This window comes from Homo sapiens, chromosome 1 (genome assembly GCF_000001405.40).
Source record: "Homo sapiens chromosome 1, GRCh38.p14 Primary Assembly".
In the NCBI taxonomy this organism is placed as follows: Eukaryota; Metazoa; Chordata; class Mammalia; order Primates; family Hominidae; genus Homo; species Homo sapiens.
The window spans coordinates 241,871,993-241,894,663 of NC_000001.11; the positions used below are offsets into that span (position 1 = coordinate 241,871,993).

The 22,671-nt window shown below is 38.6% G+C and overlaps 1 protein-coding gene across 23 annotated transcripts in view, besides 3 other annotated features; it reads left to right on the plus strand.

The window, feature by feature from the left end:
* Positions 1-17,947, plus strand: part of EXO1 (exonuclease 1) — a 41,954-nt gene extending 24,007 nt beyond the window's left edge. For 12 of the 23 annotated variants that reach the window (XM_047434104.1, XM_047434106.1, XM_011544322.2 and 9 more), the window contains 5 exons: positions 40-286; positions 6,757-7,351; positions 9,924-10,025; positions 13,322-13,515; positions 17,473-17,947. In XM_047434104.1, coding sequence (XP_047290060.1) covers positions 40-286; positions 6,757-7,351; positions 9,924-10,025; positions 13,322-13,515; positions 17,473-17,608 — 1,274 coding nt within the window. In that variant the 3' untranslated portion in view covers positions 17,609-17,947. The remainder of the gene's footprint in view (positions 1-39; positions 287-6,756; positions 7,352-9,923; positions 10,026-13,321; positions 13,516-17,472) is intronic. The other 11 variants (XM_047434112.1, XM_047434108.1, XM_047434155.1 and 8 more) reach the window with 2 other exon arrangements.
* Positions 2,581-2,781: a silencer, noted in NCBI's record as "peak797 fragment used in MPRA reporter construct". NCBI's record gives its function as "represses an SCP1 promoter by STARR-seq MPRAs in K562 erythroleukemia cells {active_cell/tissue: K562}" and the evidence as "EXISTENCE:reporter gene assay evidence [ECO:0000049][PMID:32103011]".
* Positions 21,601-21,801: a silencer, noted in NCBI's record as "peak799 fragment used in MPRA reporter construct". NCBI's record gives its function as "represses an SCP1 promoter by STARR-seq MPRAs in K562 erythroleukemia cells {active_cell/tissue: K562}" and the evidence as "EXISTENCE:reporter gene assay evidence [ECO:0000049][PMID:32103011]".
* Positions 22,101-22,301: a silencer, noted in NCBI's record as "peak800 fragment used in MPRA reporter construct". NCBI's record gives its function as "represses an SCP1 promoter by STARR-seq MPRAs in K562 erythroleukemia cells {active_cell/tissue: K562}" and the evidence as "EXISTENCE:reporter gene assay evidence [ECO:0000049][PMID:32103011]".

A 22,671-nucleotide genomic window follows, 5' to 3' on the forward strand; every position in this document is an offset into this window, starting at 1 on the left:
GTGAAACAAAGATTTACAGATAATTTTGTTTTTATTTAGCAGAGCTGTCAGAAGATGACCTGTTGAGTCAGTATTCTCTTTCATTTACGAAGAAGACCAAGAAAAATAGCTCTGAAGGCAATAAATCATTGAGCTTTTCTGAAGTGTTTGTGCCTGACCTGGTAAATGGACCTACTAACAAAAAGAGTGTAAGCACTCCACCTAGGACGAGAAATAAATTTGCAACATTTTTACAAAGGAAAAATGAAGAAAGTGGTGCAGTTGTGGTTCCAGGGACCAGAAGCAGGTATAGTTATGTCTCCAGAATGTTGATTGTCTGTTGTATTATGTACTCTGTTGGTATTTATTTTGTCTTTTTTTAGAATTAATTTATTTATTATACTTTAAGTTCTGGGGTACATGTGCAGAACGTGCAGTTTTGTTACATGGGTATACATGTGCCATGGTGATTTGCTGCACCCATCAACCCGTCACCTCCATTAGGTATTTCTCCTAATGTTATCCCTCCCCTAGCCCCCTACCCTGCCACAGGCCGGGGTGTGTGATGTTCCCCTCCTTGTGTCCATGTACTCTCATTGTTCAACTCCCATTTATGAGCGAGAACATGTGGTGTTTGGTTTTCTGTTCGTGTATTAGTTTGCTGAGAATGATGGTTTCCAGCCTCATCCATGTCCCTGCAAAGGACATGAACTCATCGTTTTTTATGACTGCATAGTATTACATGGTGTATATGTGCCACATTTTCTATACCCAGCCTATCATTGATGGGCATTTGGGTTGGTTCCAAGTCTTTGCTATTGTGAATAGTGCTGCAATAAACATACGTATGCATGTGTCTTTATAGTAGAATGATTTATAATCCTTTGGGTATATACCCAGTAATGGGATTGCTGGGTCAAATGGTATTTCTGGTTCTAGATCCTTGAGGAGTCGCCACACTGTCTTCCACAATGGTTGAATTAATTCACACTCCCACCAACAGTGTAAAAGCATTCCTATTTCTCCACATCCTCTCCAGCATCTGTTGTTTCCTGACTTTTTAATGATTGCCATTCTAACTGACGTGAGATGGTAACTCATTGTGGGTTTTTTTTTTTATACTTTAAGTTCTAGGGTACATGTGTACAACGTGCAGGTTTGTCACATATGTATACATGTGCCATGTTGGTGTGCTGCACCCATTAACTCATCATTTAACATTAGGTATATCTCCTAATGCTATCCCTCCTCCCTCCCCCCAATTGTGGTTTTGATTTGCATTTCTCTAATGGCCAGTGATGATGAGCCTTGAATAAACATTGAGTCTAGAGGGAAGCAGGTGTAGAACCTGCCTTAATCTGATTACTGTCTTATCATGTATTGTCTTAGTTCTGACATAAACCCCTTTAACTTCTAGTACTTTCGTAATCTCTCCGTACAGAATCAGAATAAAAGAGGATTGTAGCCCCTATTATTAATTTTGCTTTACAGAAATTGTTTTTTTGGGGAGTTCCCTTCCCCCTCTTTTTTTTCTACTTTTTTGTTTTCTTTGAGGGCTTCATACAATTTTGCAAAGTATTTTCAGAAATATATTCTAATGTAGATGACTGTGGAGCTGTAATATTAATTGAGAACCTGATGCCATGCTAGGTGCTATAGTTCAAAAATGAGAAAGACAGTTTTTGTTTTTCAGAAGCTTGTAGTCCAGTTGGAAAAATAAATACATAAAAATCTTTCCATACAGTATGGTGAGTACAGAGATAAAGGCATGAATACGGTGTTTTGAGGGCGTTCAAGGGGCATCTAATGCTGGGGCAATGGTTGGAAAGGGTAAGAAGGAAGGGATGAGTGTTGGGTGTCCCTGCCTAGGTTTAAATGACAGGTGAAGCAGGCAAAGACCGGCACCAAGTACCTTCCCAGTACAGTCAGACAGCTTGAGGAAAGGTGTAAAGATGGGGGGCAGCATGGGGCTCAGGACAACTCCTTGCTGTCTGTCAGTGCTGTGATGACCTCTGTCAGAATTCAAGCTGGGGAAAGATGGGTGGTGAGGGGAGCAGAAATAGGCAGGAGACCATTCACTGAAGGCTTGTATGCCAACGTGGGAACTTTTAGTCTTCTTTAGAGGCGATAGAAACATTGAGAGGGTCGCCGGGCACGATGGCTCATGCCTATAATCCCAGCACTTTGGGAGGCCAAGTGGGTGGATCACCTGAGGTCAGGAGTTTGAGACTAGCCTGGATGAAATGGGGAAACCCCGTCCTTCCTAAAAGTACAAAACCTAGCTGGACATGGTGGTGTGCACCTGTAGTCCCAGCTACTTGGGAGGCTGAGACACGAGAATTGCTTGAACCCGGGAGGAGGTTGCAGTGAACCATCATGCCACTGCAGTCCAGCCAGGGTGAGACAGTGCAAGACTCCGCCTCCAGGAAAAATAGAAAAGAAAAGAAACTTTGAGAGGGTTTTAATCAGGGGAGGTGGTGTATGATTTGATCTCTGTTTTAGATCAACCATTCTGAGCGCCCTGTGAAGAGTGGGCTGAAGAGGGCCACAGATGGGGCACAAGGACCAGTTGGGCTGTTGCCATAGTCCCTGGGAGCAATCATGAGATTGTGAAGAGTCAGTTTAATTTGTGGATTAGGAATTTAGAACCTGGAGTCAGGCTTCCTGGAATCTTGTTGTGTTCATTGTGAGATGTGTGACTTGACAAGTTAACTTCTGGATACTTCAGTTCTCTCCTTTTAAAAATTGGGACTAACAATTATAACAGCCTTAGGGCCGATGAAAGGATTAAATGAGTTACTATCAGTAATGCACCTAAAGCAGTGCCTTATAGATAGATGATAAACATACAGTAAGTAACTCGTATTATGTTGACTTTAGATGGTGGTGCCACAACATGAAAAAGGAAATGTAAGTGTCAGAAGTGATCTAGGCATGATAGAGTAACACTAAGAGAGAAAAGTTACCAGCTCCTGTATTCCACTAGAAGACTTCGAATGAATAGTCTTTGTTTTTCAAGTTTTTTATTTTTTTATTTTTATTTTTACTTGAGACAGAATTCCACTCTTGTTGCCCAGGCTGGAGTACAGTGGCGCCATCTCGGCTCACTGCCACCTCCGCCTCCCGGGTTCAAGTGATTCTCCTGCCTCAGCCTCCCGAGTAGCTGGGACTACAGGCACCCGCCACCATGCCCAGCTAATTTTTATGTTTTTAGAAGAAATGGGGTTTCACCATTTTGGCCAGGCTGGTGTCGAACTCCTGACCTCAAGTGGTCCATACACCTTGTCCTCCCAAAGTGCTGGGATTACAGGCGTGAGTCACCACACTCTGCCCTGTTTTTCAAGTTTAATAAATCAGGCAGCAGTCAGCTTTGTCTAACCATGATGATGGGAGAAGAGCATGAAAGAATGAACCACTGGTAGTTTCTTAGTCTCACCTCGGGTGATGTTTCAAACCCTTCTCCCATGGAGTCTTCTCAAGGAAACAGTTGCAATACAATATGATTAAATGATAGTTTTGATTCGTCTTTTGCTAGTCACCCTTGTTAAAGGTGCTTGTTAACAGTGGAATGATGAAAAATTGGCCACAAAACTGGAACAGTGTTCTAGATAATATACACTGATTGGGCCGGCCGTGGTGGTTCATGCCTTTAATCCCAGCACTTTGGGAGGCCAAGGCGGTCGGATCATGAGGTCAGGAGATCGAGACCATCCTGGCTAACATGGTGAAACCCCATCTCTACTAAAAGTACAAAAAATTAGCCGGGCGTGGTGGCGGGCGCTAGTAGTCCCAGCTGTTTGGGAGGCTGAGGCAGGAGAATCGCTTGAACCCGGGAGGCGGAGGTTGCAGTGAGCCAAGATCACGCCACTGCACTCCAGCCTGGGTGACAAAGCGAGACTTCGTCTCAAAAAAAGAAAAAAATACACTGATTAAAAAGTTCTAGAAAGTTGACTTCTCTCACTTGGAACAGTTTTTCTAGCTTGGTTTTGTTTTTCCGCTGGGGTGAGAGTAGAGTGTCCCTGTGCTGCTGCTTCATGTTGAGCTCTTCTTTGGAGACAACAAATGAGAATGTTTGTGTGTCTCTACAGGGCTCGCCTATTTAGTCATTATAGAAGCTTAAGGAAGTCTTCAAGTTTGAGACTGTACATCGCTGCTTTATGTAGTTTAGATGTTTCACTAGTAACTTGTTCAGAGGGTGCATTAAGAGATACCTAGAGAAATAATTTGTTTTCTCTGTCAGCTTTCTGTGAGAAATAATTATCAGGAGTAAGTCAGTCTTTGATGTGTCATTTTATGGCTTACATTATACAGCAACATCTGATAATGACTAGACAGGGTATAGGCTCACACCTATAATCTCAGCACTCTGGGAGGCCGAGGAGGGTGGATCACCTGAGGTCAGGAGTTTGAGACCAGCCTGGCCAACATAGTGAAACCCCGTCTCTACTAAGTATTCAAAAATTAGCTGGGCGTAGTGGCAGATGCCTGTAATCCCAGCTTCTCGGGGGGCCGAGGGAGGAGAATAGCTTGAACCCAGGAGGAGGAGGTTGCAGAGAGTTGAGATCGCACCCCTGCACTCCAGCCTGGGTGACAGAGCGAGACTCCATCTCAAAAAAAATTTCTTTTTAAATTAACTGGATATTATTAAATTAGTTTTCAAAGTTAATTTTCAAGGTAATTTTACATGTTTTTCTATTTCTCACAACAATATTATGAGATACATAGGATTGCTGCTATCTTCTCTATTTGAGGTTAAGAGATTGAGGCTCTGAGAGGTTAAGCATTCTCAAAGTTGTACAGTTAGTACTGGTGATAGGAAGATTCCTAGTCACAGTTGATATAATGGATTGGAAGCGGCATACAATCCAATAGGCCTGGATTTGAATTCTCACTCTGTCATCTTTTTAGTTGAGTCGTCTTTCACACACTGTTCACCTCCCTGAGCCTATTTGTTTATAAAAAATGGATGATTATATACATAAGGCTGTTGTGAAGGTAAATAGAAACTGCGTGTCAAGCACCTGCCATAATGCCTAGTCATTAATATATGTGCAAGCATTCATTACCACTCCTCTCCTTTTAATTGAATGCAACTAAAAGGAGATACTAAACATGTAAAACGTTGTCACCAATTTGCCTGCATTTTGGAAGCCTGTTTTAAGTCTTAATTATTTTTATTATGTAGGTAGTTATCACAGAAACGTGCCAGTTTTATCTTTCGAGATCTGGAAATACAAGTCAATTAAGTAACAGTATGGGCCAGTTGGGAGGAAGTAGCCATGAACTGGGAAGGGTTCTGAGTTTTACTTCTGTTTGTTGCTAGCCAAGTAATTTTATAACCCTGGGCATTGTCACTATCTCTTCTCTTGCCTGTGAAATGATATGTAGGAGAATACTTGGGCATCATAGGAATTGCCGTTGATTTAAAAATGAATTTGCCGTCCTATCTAGGAGCTCATGTTTTCTGCTTACTGAAAAGCCTAGTAAGAGCTTTTCTTCCACGTACTGCTTCCTGCCCCCTCCCCATACAACTAATCTAGGGATTTGGTGAAAGGATAGAAAGGATTTTTACTCTCTAGCATTTAGTAAATATTCTGTTCATTATCTTGGATTTGAACTAATGCCTATTAAGGAGGTAAATTCTCTTTAAGTTTTTTATTTATCTGATCATGTATAATAGGATATTTGTTAAACCTAAAAACTCTCTTTGCCTCCTCAATAATGATACTGATCTTTCATTTTCATTGGAATTTTTTTTTAAAGCTGCTATACTGAATAAGTAATACCTCTTTAGTAATATGGAATTTATGATTGATTTGAAAGAAAGTCTTAACCTGTATATTTAAAAGAGTATAGAAGTTTATAGGGTATATAACAAGCTGGTAGATTAGTATACTACTGCAAGTTCCTAGATGATATAATGCTAGGAACAAAGCTAAGATGAAGGGTAAATAGCTAATTTCTTTAATTTTGCTTCCTACAAAATATGAGAGAATAGTTGTCAATTGTCCTTTTGGTTGCATATTTCTATATCTTTTCATGCGTTTGACCATGTTTTAGCCCCATCCTAGGTACTGTGGAAGATACAAAGACATGGGAAGTACCTGCCCTCACAGAGTTTATCTTCTATTTGAGAGTTTAAAAGTTTAGGGAAAGAACACCTATATGATGATTAGGTATAAATAAAGTACAGAAGTTCCAAATACATGTGTATATAGAAGACTGCTTTTAGAAAGTCCTCTCTAGGCCGGGCGCTGTGGCTCACGCCTGTAATCCCAACACTTTGTGAGGCCAAGGCGGGCGGATCACCTGAGATCAGGAGTTTGAGACCAGCCTGACCAACATGGAGAAACCCCGTCTCTACTAAAAATACAAAATTAGCCAGCATGGTGGCGCATGCCTGTAATCCCACCTACTCAGGAGGCTGAGGCAGGAGAATTGCTTGAACCCGGGGGGCGGAGGTTGCAGTGAGCCAAGATCCCGCCACTGCACTCCAGCCTGGTGACAGAGAGAGACTCTGTCTCAAAAAAAAAAAAAAGAAGGAAAATCCTGTCTAAAAATTCATCGTATAAATAGAATTCTAAATGTGTGAATGTTGGCATAATCAAAATTTGAATTTTGACTAAAATTTAAGATTTTTTATGCCTTTATGAAATTATATATTTATGAGACTTTTTTCAAAAAGAAACTGATTATTCCATTTTGAATCTTGACACCCCTTGAGAAAACTCTAAAATACTCATACTTACTTATTGTTTCTATTGCTTTTTTTATTAGGTTTTTTTGCAGTTCAGATTCTACTGACTGTGTATCAAACAAAGTGAGCATCCAGCCTCTGGATGAAACTGCTGTCACAGATAAAGAGAACAATCTGCATGAATCAGAGTATGGAGACCAAGAAGGCAAGAGACTGGTTGACACAGATGTAGCACGTAATTCAAGTGATGACATTCCGAATAATCATATTCCAGGTGATCATATTCCAGACAAGGCAACAGTGTTTACAGATGAAGAGTCCTACTCTTTTGAGAGCAGCAAATTTACAAGGACCATTTCACCACCCACTTTGGGAACACTAAGAAGTTGTTTTAGTTGGTCTGGAGGTCTTGGAGATTTTTCAAGAACGCCGAGCCCCTCTCCAAGCACAGCATTGCAGCAGTTCCGAAGAAAGAGCGATTCCCCCACCTCTTTGCCTGAGAATAATATGTCTGATGTGTCGCAGTTAAAGAGCGAGGAGTCCAGTGACGATGAGTCTCATCCCTTACGAGAAGAGGCATGTTCTTCACAGTCCCAGGAAAGTGGAGAATTCTCACTGCAGAGTTCAAATGCATCAAAGCTTTCTCAGTGCTCTAGTAAGGACTCTGATTCAGAGGTAAGTCAAATCCTGAAGGCTTTGTTTTCAAATTTATATGTAAGAAAAAATAGATTGTTGCTCAAACTGAGGAAATTTTTCCTACATGTGAATGACGAGCTATATTATTTTTTCATTCTAAACTCTACTGTGCAGAAAGTTCACATTTTATTCATTTGAAGGACTTCTCTGTATCTTTCACATTTTAAACTGCAATACATTTAAATTAACTCTGTATATTTCCTGAATCACTGTATGTTCGATTGGTGAGTATCTCAAGGGGTGCCACAGTTAAAACCGAGGCAGAGTGATAATCTGTGAAATGAAAAATTATTATCAATTTACTGTTTAAATCCTTAATATGCTCTTGAATTCAGATAACATTTAAGACCTTGTAAGGGGCCAGGTGCGATGGCTCATGCCTGTAATCCCAGCACTTTGGGAGGCCGAGGCGAGCGGATCACTTGAGGTCAGGAGTTTGAGACCAGCCTGGCCAGCATGGTGAAACCCTGTCTCTCCTAAAAATACAAAAATCTTAGGCAGGCATGGTGGTGGGCACCTGTGATCCCAGCTATTCGGGAGGCTGAGGCAGGGTAATTATTTGAACCTGGGAGGCGGAGGTTGCAGTGAGCCGAGATTGAGCCACTGTACTCCAGCCTGGGGGACAGAGCAAGACTGTCTCAAAAAAAAAAAAAGAAAAAAAAAGAGACCTTATAAGGAAATAACCCTGTTAATGCAATGGTATTCATCTTAAGTTTTAGTACTTCAGAAATATATTTTCATTTACTCTTCTTATTCCTTCTAAATTTCTCCTTATGACAAAACAAAACAGTAACACAGGTGTGCATACTGGTCTAGAAGACTGTCTGTTTCTCTTCCTATGAACGTCTTTATCTCGTCTTTTTCATTTCTGCTTCATACTGCATCTTCTCTTACTGCCACTTGGGTACCACGGCAGTGGCTATCTTGAACATCTTTCATAAAAACATCACTGTCAATTTGTGAGGATATTAAGTCTGCTGAGCTCCTTTGGGGTTATCTTTTTTATATTTCCAGCATGCATCTTACTATTTCATTTACTTTGGAAGCGTTTAGCCATGTTTTCCTGAGAAGCCTTATCAGTTCACACTGTAGGCTGGTAGAACTCCACATTTTGTCTTCTGGGCTAACCTTTTTTTATGTACTAATGGTTATAGAAATGTGAATCCTCCTCCCCTAGCCATGCCCCACTGAAAATAAACGAACTGAACAAAACTAGGAATAATTCATTAAGTCCTCTCTCTTGCTGCCAGATGTAGTAAACTCCTACTAGAATAGTTAATTCTCAAAGAATCTGATGCTGACAGTTGACATGAAAATCATATAATCTTTCTTTGATGGAGAAAATGTTTCAGAAAGCTGTGAAACATTGGGGCATCATTTTGAATATCAGTTTTTATCCTATAGTTCAGAAGAAAATGCTTCAATATTTGAGCCTTCTGTCGGTAGTTCACTGTGAAAAACAACAACCATAGATTCTGTGTTGAGTTCATTGACCATATTTGAGGTTGAAGTCTTCTTAGGACCTTCCTTGTGATCTTCAGGAAGTGATTTAGCCCAGAGTCACCAATACTGTTAGCTATGAGCAAAGAATGTTAGAGTTTCTGTAAGGTATAATACAAGTTAATGGAGTGCTTTTCACTATTGGGTTTTTTATTGCTCTTTTGTTTTGTTTTGTTTTTTTGTTTTTTAAGTCTGCTCTGTTGCCTAGGCTGGATTGCAGTGGTACAATCTCGGCTCACTGCAACCTCCACCTCCCGGGTTCAAGCGATTCTCCCACCTCAGCCTCCCAAGTAGCTGGGACAACAGGCATGTGCCACCATGCCCGGCTAATTTTTGTATTTTTAGTAGAGACAGGATTTCACCATGTTGGCCAGGCTGGTCTTGAACTCCTGACCTCAAGTGATCTACCCACCCACCTTGGCCTCCCAAAGTGCTGGGATTACAGGCATGAGCCACCGCCCCTGGCCTTACTGTCCTCTTTTATTTGACTTTCATGGGAATGCAGATTATAAGGGAACTCTCCATCTATAGAGAAGTCTTATCTGATAGAATTGGGGGCAGAAAGGTCTGAAAGTCATTGCTAAAGGTGAAGTGCATTTAATACAATGCTACTCCACTTGAAAGTGGATGCGTTTTTTTCTTTTTAAAGTTGAACGTGTTACATGATTAAAAGAAGGGATGGAGCTGCACCAGTTCAACTTATTTTAGCTAGTAAGATGAAAACTTAACCACACGTGCGTAACGCAGCGTTTTTACATTAGGAGACTCTTGTTTTATCTGACTCAGCATTTTAACATCCTCTTCTAACAGTTCAGAAAAGACTTTAATTTTAAATAGATATTTTATATAATTTACCTCTCCAGCTGAAACATCTTGTTAGCTTCTTCAATGAAATTGGCAAATATCATCCTTTCCATATTATTCATTTTCTTTTATTAATTCTATCCCATGTTCTTATTTATCTTCCATTTTGTTGAATATTAGTTTGTTGTCATAAAAATTCTACAGTAAAAATCTAATTTTATTTTATTTTTTGATCTGGGGACTCTAGGAATCTGATTGCAATATTAAGTTACTTGACAGTCAAAGTGACCAGACCTCCAAGCTACGTTTATCTCATTTCTCAAAAAAAGACACACCTCTAAGGAACAAGGTAAAACATTTATTTAATTTTTTTTTTAATTTCAGAAGCGGTGTATGCTTACAACTAGAAAATGAGAAATACAAGCAGAATTAAAAATCAAAATACCTGTAGTCTCATTTATATAAAAATGTCTACTTTAAAACTTTATGCTTGACTGTAGGTGTTTAAGTTGTGAAACTTATTTTCTCTTGCAGTGTATATGAAAGATCACTTTCCAAGTACTTTTAGTCATTAATGTAATGACTTTATAATATGCAGTTGTATAGGTTTGGTCAATCCCCTTATTTTTGTCATTTACCCTAAATTTTTTTGCTCTAGCAAATAATACTGCAACCAAGATCTTGTGGATAAATATTTGAGGACATGTTCTTGATTAGTTTGTAAGGATGAATTGCATGGAGTGGTATTACTGGTCCCAAGGCATGTATGATTTAACATTGATACATACTGCCAAAAGGCCTTCTAGAAACTGTGTACCCATGATAAACTAGGTTTGTTGAATCAAAATATATAAATATTTGTGTTACTACATAGTAAAGCATATTTTATATATTAAGCACGAATTAAAGCATATTTTATATATTAAATGTTCTTGTTCATCAGTATAAAAACACCATTTCCTAACTTAAAAGATGGATAAAGGTCATAAACAGGTCACAAAAGGAAAAGTACCAATGGTTGATTAATATGTGTTTAACCTCATTTGTTTAACCGTATGTTTAACCTCATTAGTAATCAAGTAGTGCAAATTAAAATAATAAAATAGTTTCTTGCCTCTTCATATTTCAAAAAAATGTTTTTAATTATACTCATTTTTTATGAGAGTATAGTGAGATAATCACATGTTTTAAAAAGTAAGTATTGGTCTGCCATTTCTAGAAAAAAATTTGAAAGAGTTCAAATAATTTAAACCAGTAAGTGCATTCTAGAACTTTAGCCTAAGGAAACATTGAGAATTTAAATACAAGAATACTTAATACTGCATTGGTTATAATAGTGAAAAATTGGAAATAACCTAAATAACAATAAGGGAGTGAGTTATTAAATAATCATTGGTTTTAGCTCTTACTGGTAGAAATATAGGTGAATTTTTTTCTGTTCTTTTTCTTGTGTTTTTCTACCATGAGCATATATTATGTTTCTAGTAGCATAAAAACTTCTTACTTTTTAAAATTTTAATAAATGGCCCTGGCTATCCATTTGAAAGAAGATGTAGTCTCACACAATATAAATGTAAATTCTACTGTAGTCAATATGGGTTGCTATAACAGAATACCAGAAACTGGATTTGCTTAAATGATAAATATTTATTTCTCACAGTTCTAGAGGCTGGGAAGTCCAAGGTCTGAGTGAGAGCCCACTTCCTGGTTTGCAGACAGATGCCTTCTCGCTGTGTCCTTACATGGTAGAGGGAGAGAATATCTCTTTTGTACCTCTTCTTAAGGGCACTAATCTCATTCATGAGGGCTCTACTCTCATGATCTAATCACCTCTCAAAAATCCCACCATCACATTAGGAGTTAAGGGGTTAGGACTTCAATATGAATGTGAGGGAGACACAACATTCAGTCCACAGCAAATTCCAGTACATTAAAGATACAAATATGAAATATGTAAATATGAGATTATTTTTTAAATTTTTGAGCAAGAAGTTTTTTGCAATCATATCTACTAACTTGAAAAGACATTCATTATTAGTGAAAAGGAAAAATATGTTATTAACAATATGTATAGTGTTTTTGTTTAAATACTTTAAAATATTCATGTACACATTTGCATGTTTGTGGCATCCTATTAAGAAGTCTGGAAAGATACATGCAGAATTATTTACAATGATGGATAGAACTGGAGATGTAGAAAGTACTTTTCCTGAAGGAGTTATGTCTAGATAGTAAACCATCATATTATTATTATTATTCTCAGACATTTGCATTGTCAGGGATTTAACTACCACTTCTGTTTTGGTGACCCTTCAGGTGAGCTCTCCCTGATACCCATCTTTAATACCTAAAATCAAACTCGTGTCTTTTACCTCTATTTCTTCTCGGAACGTTTTTTGTTTTATCTATTAAATAAAATTATATTATCTGCCACTTAGTTTCAAAATCCTAAGGTTGTCCTTTTTCTTGATAACTGTCAGTTTGATCCTTCTACAGCAGTTAGAGAAAAACAACCAAACATCGATACCTCTCCAAATTCTAACGTTTATTTCTTTGCCTTCTTTTTTCTCCCTCACTTTTTCCCCATCACAACACATATTTAAGGATTTCATCTTTACTGTGTGAACCTTTATTTTGTTTTAACTTTTTCATTCTTCCTACACACACTGCCAGATTCATATTGTAAACCTTTTTTAATATACCTCATTCTTACTATCTTAAGAAACAATAACAAAACTTCATTGTCTCCATTCTGTCCACAGGGTAAAAATCAACCCTTAGTAGAAACAGCCTAAATGTCAATAGAGGTTTGTTTAAGTAAGTTATGGCATATATATACAATGCAAGAACAGGCAACCTATTCAAAATAAAATTCTATTTCCTGTGAACTGAAAAAAATCTCTAAGTTACATCATTAAGAGGAATCAAGATATATTAAGTGAGAAAAATGAAGTGCACAACAATGTGTACTATGCTGCCTGTGTGTGTGTGTGTGTGTGTGTGTGTGTGCACGTGCACGTAAGTCAGTGGATGCATAGGAAGCTGGGAGCAGCAATTGCCTCTGGAAAGGGAGGCAGCGAGAGACATTCATTTTGCTCTCTGTTCCTTTACAAAAGAGAGAACTTTTAAATTTTATGCCAGGTTTACATATTACCTGTTAAAATAATTTATGATGACTTCTGTAATAGACTTTTATAAATAGCACATTTTTACCATTGCTCATGGGTTATTTTGTTCTTATGTATAAAGAATAGTTTGGCCGTGTGTGGTGGCTCATGCCTGTAATCCCAGCGCTTTGGGAGGCTGAGGCGAGCAGATCACAAGGTCAGGAGATCGAGACCATCCTGGCTAAAACGGTGAAACGCCGTCTCTACTAAAAATATAAAAAATTAGCGAGGCGTGGTGGCGGGTGCCTGTAGTCCCAGCTACTCGGGAGGCTGAGGCAGGAGAATGGCGTCAACCCGGGAGGTGGAGCTTGCAGTGAGCCGAGATCGCACCACTGCACTCCAGACTGGGCGACAGAGTGAGAGTCCATCTCAAAAAGTAAATAAATAAATAAATAAATAAGTAAAGAATAAAGAATAGCTTGAAATTAAAGTTAGTTGCTTTAACAGAATGGTCTTAAAATGGGTGTTTAATCTTCAGGTTCCTGGGCTATATAAGTCCAGTTCTGCAGACTCTCTTTCTACAACCAAGATCAAACCTCTAGGACCTGCCAGAGCCAGTGGGCTGAGCAAGAAGCCGGCAAGCATCCAGAAGAGAAAGCATCATAATGCCGAGAACAAGCCGGGGTTACAGATCAAACTCAATGAGCTCTGGAAAAACTTTGGATTTAAAAAGTGAGTTGCCTTGTTTCTTATTCTGAAACAAGATAAACTGTTATTTTCTGTAATTTCCATCCCTTTCTCCCAACTCTTCCTAGTTTCGTATGAGTTTTTGTTTCTCTCACTATAAAATAATTATTTTTCTCTCTTCCCTTTAGCTAACTCTTTATACTTAATATCAATTTCTATACCTTCTTTTCATAAAAAGATGGCAAACTAAAAACCAGTTTTCAGTCTGGTTTTGGAGTCTCTCTGATGTGAAGCAAATTGCTTTCCTAGGCCTTAAGTCTCCTGCCTTCCTTTTCTTATCTCTCAGGATTGTAAAGAGAATAAAATTTTATTTGGTTTTTTGTTTTTTGTTTTTTGTTTTTTGTTTTTTTGAGAGAGTTTTGCTCTTGTTACCCAGGCTGGAATGCAATGGTGCGATCTCCACTCACCGCAACCTCCGCCACCTGGGCTCAAGCAATTCTTCTGCCTCAGCCTCCCGAGTAGCTGGGATTACAGGCATGCACCACCACGCCTGGCTAATTTTGTATCTTTAATAGACACGAGGTTTCTCCATGTTGGTCAGGCTAGTCTCGAACTCCCAACCTCAGGTGATCCACCCGCCACGGCCTCCCAAGTGCTGGGATTACAGGCGTAAGCCACCACGCCCAGACAAGAATAAAATTTTAAAGAAGGGGTAGAAACACAGTGCAATATCGTACTTCTCTAATTTATCACATCTAAAATGGGGAGACTCATTGAGTTTATATGATGAATTTGCCAGATTTGCAGTGTATGTGGCCAGCACTGTTTTAAAAGAATTCATCTTCTATATAGTTAAATTTTTGTTAACCATAATACTTCCTTCTGTTAGACCACAAAATTAGCCACAGAGTAGCATTACCTTATAGCTATTTTCTTGTTCTCAATAAAAGAAATGTGCTGTTTAATAAAAGTTTTTTTTAATTATATGGAATGATAGGATTAAACCTTACCTAGTAGAAATATTGTCATAGATGAGGCGGTATGAGTGGGAAACACTTTGTAAATAAGTAAGTGCTGGACAATCGTTTCTTATTTTACATTGTGTAAAGTCTAGGATTAAACCATATGACAGCAGTTTTCAAACTTTTTCTTTTCAGGAATGCTTTATACTCTTAGAAATTATTAAAGGCCCCAAAATACTTTGGTTTATTTAGGTTATATTTGTCAACACTTAACCATCATAGAAATTGAAATAGACATTTTAAAATATCTATTTTAAAATAATGATAAGCCTATTACATGAATGTAGATAGTACATTTAAAAAATAAATAGCTATATTTTCCAAATCCCCCCAAAAGGTAAGAAAAGTGGCATGGCTTTACATTTCATTTTGCAAATCTTTACTATCTAGTTTGCAAATCTTTACTGTCTGGCTTAATAGAGCTCAGCCGGATTCTTGTATCTGCTTCTACATTTGATCTGTTATGATTTGGTGTTTTGGTTGAGTATATGAAGGAAATAGACATATTTGTAGTTAGAAAATATATACTTTGATAGCCTTTTTAGATAGTGGTAAATTTTCTTCTTTGCTGTTATGTCTAAATCCAACAACTTGTAGTTTCTTTAGGTCAGTGATAGTGTAGAATATGAAACCATATCAACTGACTTTTTGTACTCTGTGTTTTATTGCAGTCCACTGGTGTCCCTTTTTTCTGTTGCCTAGGCTGGAATGGCACAATCATGGCTCACTGTACCCTCGAGCTCCTGAGCTCAGGCAGTCCTCCTGCCTCAGCCTCTTGAGTAGCTGGGACTACAGGCTTGTGCCACCAGCCCCAGTTAATTATTTAAGTTGTTATGTGAGGTGTGAGCCACCTTGCCTGGCCTACACTGGTGCACTTTTAATGCATCTTTTACATGTAACATCATGAGTTGGTCTTTTGGAAAATATTGGTTAATTGAGATGTACTTCCAAATATTGATATATTTTATTATACAATATAAGAAAAAAGTCACAATCAACAAAGCCTTTAATATTGGAAAACTGTTGTGTGGCAGATACGTTTTCCAAAATTTTAATTTTCATTTGAAAGCTTGAATTTTATCATTAGCAACAAATACTCTTAGTTGTTTTTCTTTAAAGTAACAGGCTCTCTTTGCTCATTTTATTTGTTTGTTTATTTATTTATTTATTTTGAGACAGAGTCTCTCTTTGTCACCCAGGCTGGAGTGCAGTGGCACAATCTCAGCTCACTGCAGCCTCCGCCTCCTGGGTTCAAGTGATTCACCTGTCTCAGCCTCCTAAGTAGGTGGGATTACAGGCGCCTGCCACCATGCCTTACTAATTTTTATATTTTTTGTAGAGATCGGGTTTCGCTGTGTTGGCCAGGCTGGTTTTGAACTCCTGACCTCAAGTGATCCACCTGCTTCAACCTCCCAAAGTGCTGGGATTACAGACATGAGCCACCACGCCTGGCCCCTTTTTGTTCCAAATTTTAGAGAAGTCCTGAATGACCTTAGTGTCACACATGCTTTTACTTGAGGTAAACTATCATACTTCCATACACAATAGAAGTGTTTTGTTTGTGCTTTCCATTTTGTCACAGAATATTAAAAAGTATACCAAAGAATTAGCTGAGCGTGGTGGCATGTGGCCGTAGTCCCAGCTTCTCAGGAGGCTGAAGTGGCAGAATTGCTTGAGCCCGGGAGGTGGCGGTTGCAGTGAACTGAGATTGCGGCACTGCACTCCAGCCAGAGTGCAACAGAACGAGACCTTGTCTCAAAAAAATTTAAAAAAAAATGTAAAGTATACCAAAGGGTTGAGATTTAATAAAATTAATGATTTGTACTGCTTCCATCAAGAACATTTTTGAGACTTTTTTTTAACTGCAAGTGCGCAGAGGTGGAGAATACAAATAGTCCTGGTATGACTCGTACGGTGTGATGCCACTGTCTTGATTCACACTGAGTTGTCAGCAGTTTCACTCTGTTCTGCTTTAGCAACATCCATGCAAGGGTCAGCACAGTGGAAAGGATGAACAAAGTCTGAATATTGTAAGAATAGTTTTGGTCTTGGAAACCGTTCAAAGGATCTTGGGACTCTCCAGGGGTTGTGGAACATGCTTTGAAAACTGTTGCTAGACAGAAATTAAGGGTGCAACAGTATTCTTAAATACCTTTGAGAAAAAAAGATGTACTGGTATTTAATTTTTGTTGACAGGAGATAGAATTACCTGTAATATCTTCATAACAGGATTAATTTTTATAGATAGCTTCCTTCCAGAAAAGAAAAAAGAGAAAACAACCGAGAGGGGAATAAAAGACAGGGCTTAGGCCAGGCACAGTGGCTCACGCCTGTAATCCCAGCACTTTGGGAGGCTGAGGCAGGCAGATCACTTGAGGTCAGGAGTTTGAGACCAGCCTGGCCAGCATGGTGAAACCCCATCTGTAGTAAAAATACAAAAATTAGCCAGGTGTGGTGGTGCACGCCTGTAGTTCCAGCTACTCGGGCTGAGGCAAGATAATCGCTTGAACCCAGGAGGTGGAGGTTGCAGTGAGCCAAGATCGTGCCACTGCACTCCAGCCTGGGTGACAGAGCGAGACCATCTCAAAAAAGAAAAAAAATAATAATAAGATTTAACCAGGGCTTAACCATTTGTTCCTGCTTCACTTATATTAGTTCTTAACCAGACTTGAGAAGGGCACTAAGGAGAAAAGAATTAAAGTATTGGAATCATTCTGCCTTAGCTAATATATCTAGTGGTGGCCCAGCACCTACACTGAATAGTGATTTTGAAAGCAAGAAGAGGCACTAAGAAGTGAGACTCAGAATGTATTGGGAGTGCTCACAGGAGAACCTGATTGTGTTATATAATGAATTGAAAGAGATCGTACAGTAAAGGGTCTTATCCTCTTCATGTCCCTCTATTTTGTCCAGGTAGAATATTTCTTCTCTAATAATCAGTACCTTAAAAATACCAAATGTATTTTATTGTATTTTGCAGAGATTCTGAAAAGCTTCCTCCTTGTAAGAAACCCCTGTCCCCAGTCAGAGATAACATCCAACTAACTCCAGAAGCGGAAGAGGATATATTTAACAAACCTGAATGTGGCCGTGTTCAAAGAGCAATATTCCAGTAAATGCAGACTGCTGCAAAGCTTTTGCCTGCAAGAGAATCTGATCAATTTGAAGTCCCTGTTTGGGAATGAGGCACTTATCAGCATGAAGAATTTTTTCTCATTCTGTGCCATTTTAAAAATAGAATACATTTTGTATATTAACTTTATAATTGGGTTGTGGTTTTTTTGCTCAGCTTTTTATATTTTTATAAGAAGCTAAATAGAAGAATAATTGTATCTCTGACAGGTTTTTGGAGGTTTTAGTGTTAATTGGGAAAATCCTCTGGAGTTTATAAAAGTCTACTCTAAATATTTCTGTAATGTTGTCAAGTAGAAAGATAGTAAATGGAGAAACTACAATCCTAGAGGAAATCACTGTGTTTCTCCAGGCTTTAAAGTTTTCCACTTGCCTTTCCCATCTGTCCTTCAGGGTTGAATTGAAAATAAAGTTGTTGAGATGGGAGGGGTAATTGGAAGGGTTAAAGATCATTACACAAATGAGACAGTGCTCTCTTATCCCTGAAGGGTTTGGTTGGATTATAGGTTGACACTGAAGGAAAATTTTCAGCCTCATATGAAAGGAAATACTTCTTATATCATTAATATTTTTAAACTTCAAAATAGCCTCAGTTTTAATATATATATTTTGAAGTATAGGCTAAAGCTTTCTTAACATGTATTTAAAACTAGTCCCCTAAACACTACATAAGATACTAAAGCTGCAAGGTCTGTGACACGTACACTCTGCAAATAAATGGGCAGATACCTGGAAAGAGAACCAGCTGCACAAGTGAGGATCTGAAGTGACAGGAATTAAAGGAATTATAAAAGTATTTGTGATATAGAGGATAAAGGAAAGAGAGCCAAAGTATTTATATTTTTGAGTGAGACTTGGTAGAGGACTCTAGGAAAATGAGATCAGAATGGAATAAAAGCTAACTAAAGCTATTACAAAATTAAAACCCAAAAAGGCCCAATCTGGAAAAGACCTAATCCAAAGAACAAAAGCAGATTTGAATTCTCCATGCATGTTTCCTGTTATAAAATAAATTAGGAATGTGAGTCAAACGTTGTCTTCAAATATTTATCCCCTCACTCACTAAAAATGCTACTTAAATGACAGAAAAGGAATAAGACAAATCCACAAGGTTAATAGAATGGAAGAAGAGACATCAGGCAAGGAAACTGATGGATGAGTGGTAAGTGATTTCACAAAGAAATGATAATTGTCAGTGGCAGAAGACTAGAAGAGGTAAAAATCTAATAAGCTTGACAAATGGAGATATCCAGATTCCTCTAAAGCCAGAGGTGCAGAATAAGGCTGGAAATAGGATTGGTTTTGGAAATCTTTAAAACTAGTGTGGGAGAAAGGGCAGATGGCAGCAGTGCCATAGTTTTCAATCTCCAAATCACCATATAATAGCAACTGGATAGCAAAATAAAAATCCATGAGCAACGTAAGTGGGTGAAGATAGCCACAAGACCACAAGCTGGCATTGGCATCAATTCAGGTGAAGCAGAGTGAGGAAACGGCATCTAATGGCCTGAGAACAGAACCTCAGGGTCATCACAGAAACAGCAGGCCAGGTTGAAAACAGCACTCAAGTGGGAGAGGCTTTGCCCATTTCAAAGGTGGGTGAGTCCAAGAGGCTTGTATTAAGGTCTGAAGGACTGAAGCAAGCTAGCCCCTAGAAAGTGTTAGAACTGATTCGCTGAGTTCACCAAGGTTCTCTTCCAGGACAGCGTTCCCCACAGAAGAGAAACTGCTGGGGTGAAGCCAAATTGAAGAAGAGAAAGATGAAGAGAAGGTCCAAATACAAGTAGAATAGGGGATAGTCAACCAAAATCTCTCAGCAGAATACTGGTTTTGAACACTTAGAAAGAAACAGGGAAGTTCCCGTGAATCATGCTTCCTTCTCAAAGTTTAGGAAATGGAATTTACTTAAGAAACTAAGGAAAGTTTTTAGATGAATCTCATACAAAGTTATTTTAATGAAAAGAAAGAGCAAAGATAAGATTTCTGGGCAATGAAGATCTATCAGAAAGGTCTACAGAGCAGAGCAAAACTAGTTCGTTTAAAATGTGCTAAAAGATATTAGAAAAATGATATAAAATATGACAAATTTAGGATTACAAGAATCAGAAATAAGATAAACTCAGGAAAACACTGGAAATAAAAAGATACCAGAGATGCAATATAAACACTATGGATAATTCCTTTAAAAAGAGGTAAAAATAAAAAGGAATTTAAAAAACCCAATTTTTGTTTAATTAGAAAATGACAAGGCCCAACATACAGATAATAGGAATTTGAAACAACAACAAAACCCTATAATCTTAGAAAATGTTTTATTTAAATATATAAAACAATATTTTAAAAGTGAACTGTGGTACCTAAGCAGCAGCTAACACCAGGACATAAATAATATAATACTTTAAAGGGAGAAAACTTTTTGGCTAGGCAAAACCAGGTGAAATGAAAGATGGTGATCAGACTTTCTTCACAATTATACTTTATGCCTGAAGAAAATGGATTGACCATTTTCGAGATACCCAAAGAAAAATGTGAGCTGAGGTTTTCATATCTAATAAAGTTATAAGCATAAAAGGCTGGTACAAACTTATCCTACATAGACAAATTTGGGAAATGGGAAATGTTGTTCCCTTAAGCTCTTCATCAGGAACATCAGAAAATGAGCTCCAGATAACCACAATGACTAAAGAAATAGTGACAGACTGGTGGTGAATATTAAGCATGTGTTGCTTATATAATTTAAGAGTTAAAGTATAGTATGTAAAAGCATATGCAAAAACATTTGGTTTAGCTGGTGGTAGTCTGATATTTTGGGACTGTGTGTAGACTGGAATAGAATAATTACTATTTATAGGATATTTGAAATCCTGTTTTCTTGAGAATCAGGGTCCCTTTTTTTTTTTTTTCAAGATGGAGTCTCGCTGTGTCACAATCTCAGCTCACTGCAACCTCTGCCTCCCAGGTTCAAGCAATTCTGCCTCAGCCTCCCAAGGAGCTGAGATTACAGGTGTGTGCCACCATGCCCAGCTTCATTTTTGTATTTTTAGTAGAGATGGAGTTTCAACATGTTGGCCAGGCTGGTCTCTTAATCTCAGGTGATCCACCCACCTTGGCCTCCCAGAGTGCTGGGATTGCAGGCATAAGCCACTGCACCCAGCCTAGAACCAGGGATTTTAATGTGAGGAAAAGGAGATAGAGAATACAGAACATGTAATTTTTTGAAAAAAATAAAAAAAAACAAAAAAAAAAAACCTATGGCTATGAATTTGAATTGGACGTAGTGGTATAAACTCATGAATGTATATGAATACATGTAGATATGTGTGAATATACACATTCATGAGTTTGTACCAGTATGTTCAATACAAATTCATAACTATCAGGATGCTTAACACGTCAGCTTGTGGTTTCAAAGTACCTTTTTGTTTTTTTCATTAAAACGAGAATTTGGGGAAAATAGTCTGGCAGGAAGTGTAAAAGATAAGCCTAGGACATCTTGTCACAACAAATAGAGGGGCTGGGTGCAGTGTCTCATGCCTGTAATCCCAGGACTTTGGGAGGCTAAGGTGGGCGGATCACCTGAGGTCAGGAGTTCAAGACCAGCCTGGACAACATGGTGAAACTCCATCTCTACTAAAAATACAAAATTAGCCGGGCGTGGTGGCGCATGCCTGTAATCCCAGCTACTTGGGAGGCTGAAGCAGGAGACTTACTTGAAACCAGGAGGCAGAGGTTTCAGTGAGCCGAGATCCCGCCACTGCACTCCAGCCTGGGCAACAAGAGCGAAGCTCCATCTCAAAAACAAAACAAAACAAAACAAAATAAAAATAGAGGTTAACAAAGGCTGCTAGGTAATTTCCAAAAGATTCAAGAGCCAGCTTAAAGGGGCCCCCACTGTGCAAATGTGGGAAACTTTGGTCTTCAAAGAAGATAATTGCAATTTACTAAAACCCATCATAAACATTAAGAATAATTGGTCACCTTGGAGGATGATGGAGTATTCATTGTCTTGAAAACTTGAAGCAAAAAAGCATTTTCCTGTCTTTCCTCTATGAACAGTACAACTGGGTAACTAAATGGCAGATGAAGGACATATCTCTTTCTAGTGTTCTAATAATTAAGATCATATATTTTTCAATACCCAGTGGATCAATAAATTTGAATTTTGTGCATCAATTGCTCTAACATCACAAAAAGACCAGGCACAGTGGCTCACGCCTCTAATCCTACCACTTTGTGAGGTCAAGGAGGGAGGATTGCTTGAGCTCAGGAGTTCGAGAGCAGCCTGGGTAGCATACTGAGATCTCATCTCTACAAAAAAAAAAAAAAATTGTTTCAATTAGCCAGATGCTGTGGCATGTGCCTGTATTCCCAGCTACCCCCATGGCTGAGATGGGAGGATCACTTAAGCCCAACAGATTGAGGCTGCAGTGAGCTGTGATTGTGCCACTGCACTCCACCCTGGATGACAGAGCAAGACCTTGTCTCAAAAAAAAAGAAAGACAACCAGACATTTTATGCCTGCTAATGAAAGGGCTCAACATCACCTATAGTTTTGCCACAGAGATTAGAAATGAGTCTGATTATGCCTCTGGGTTCAGCTGCCTGCTACATTGCAGGAGATTCAGAGGACAGTGGAACATGTTGAACTGAATGAAGCATGAGTGTACAACTAGCAAAATTCAGACTCGGGAGGCTCAGGTGGGAGGATCGCTTGAGCCCAGGTGGTCAAGGCTGCAGTAAGCCATGATTACATCACTCAACTCCAGCCCCGGTGACAGAATGAGACCTGTCAAAAACAAAACAAAACAAAACAAAAACACCAAACAAAAACTAGCAAAGAAAAAACTTTAGTTGAATTCTTACTCTGTTATACAGAGGCCCCATCATCCTTCCATGCTGTGTCCCAGATAAGCCAGTGCTAGCATTGTGGCTGTCCTTGGGCCATCCCATCTATCCTTAGAGTTCAGGCTACTTTTGCCCTGCAATCTTAGCCCTCTAATGATTTTATTTTATTTTTTATTTTTTATTTTTTTGAGACGAAGTCTCA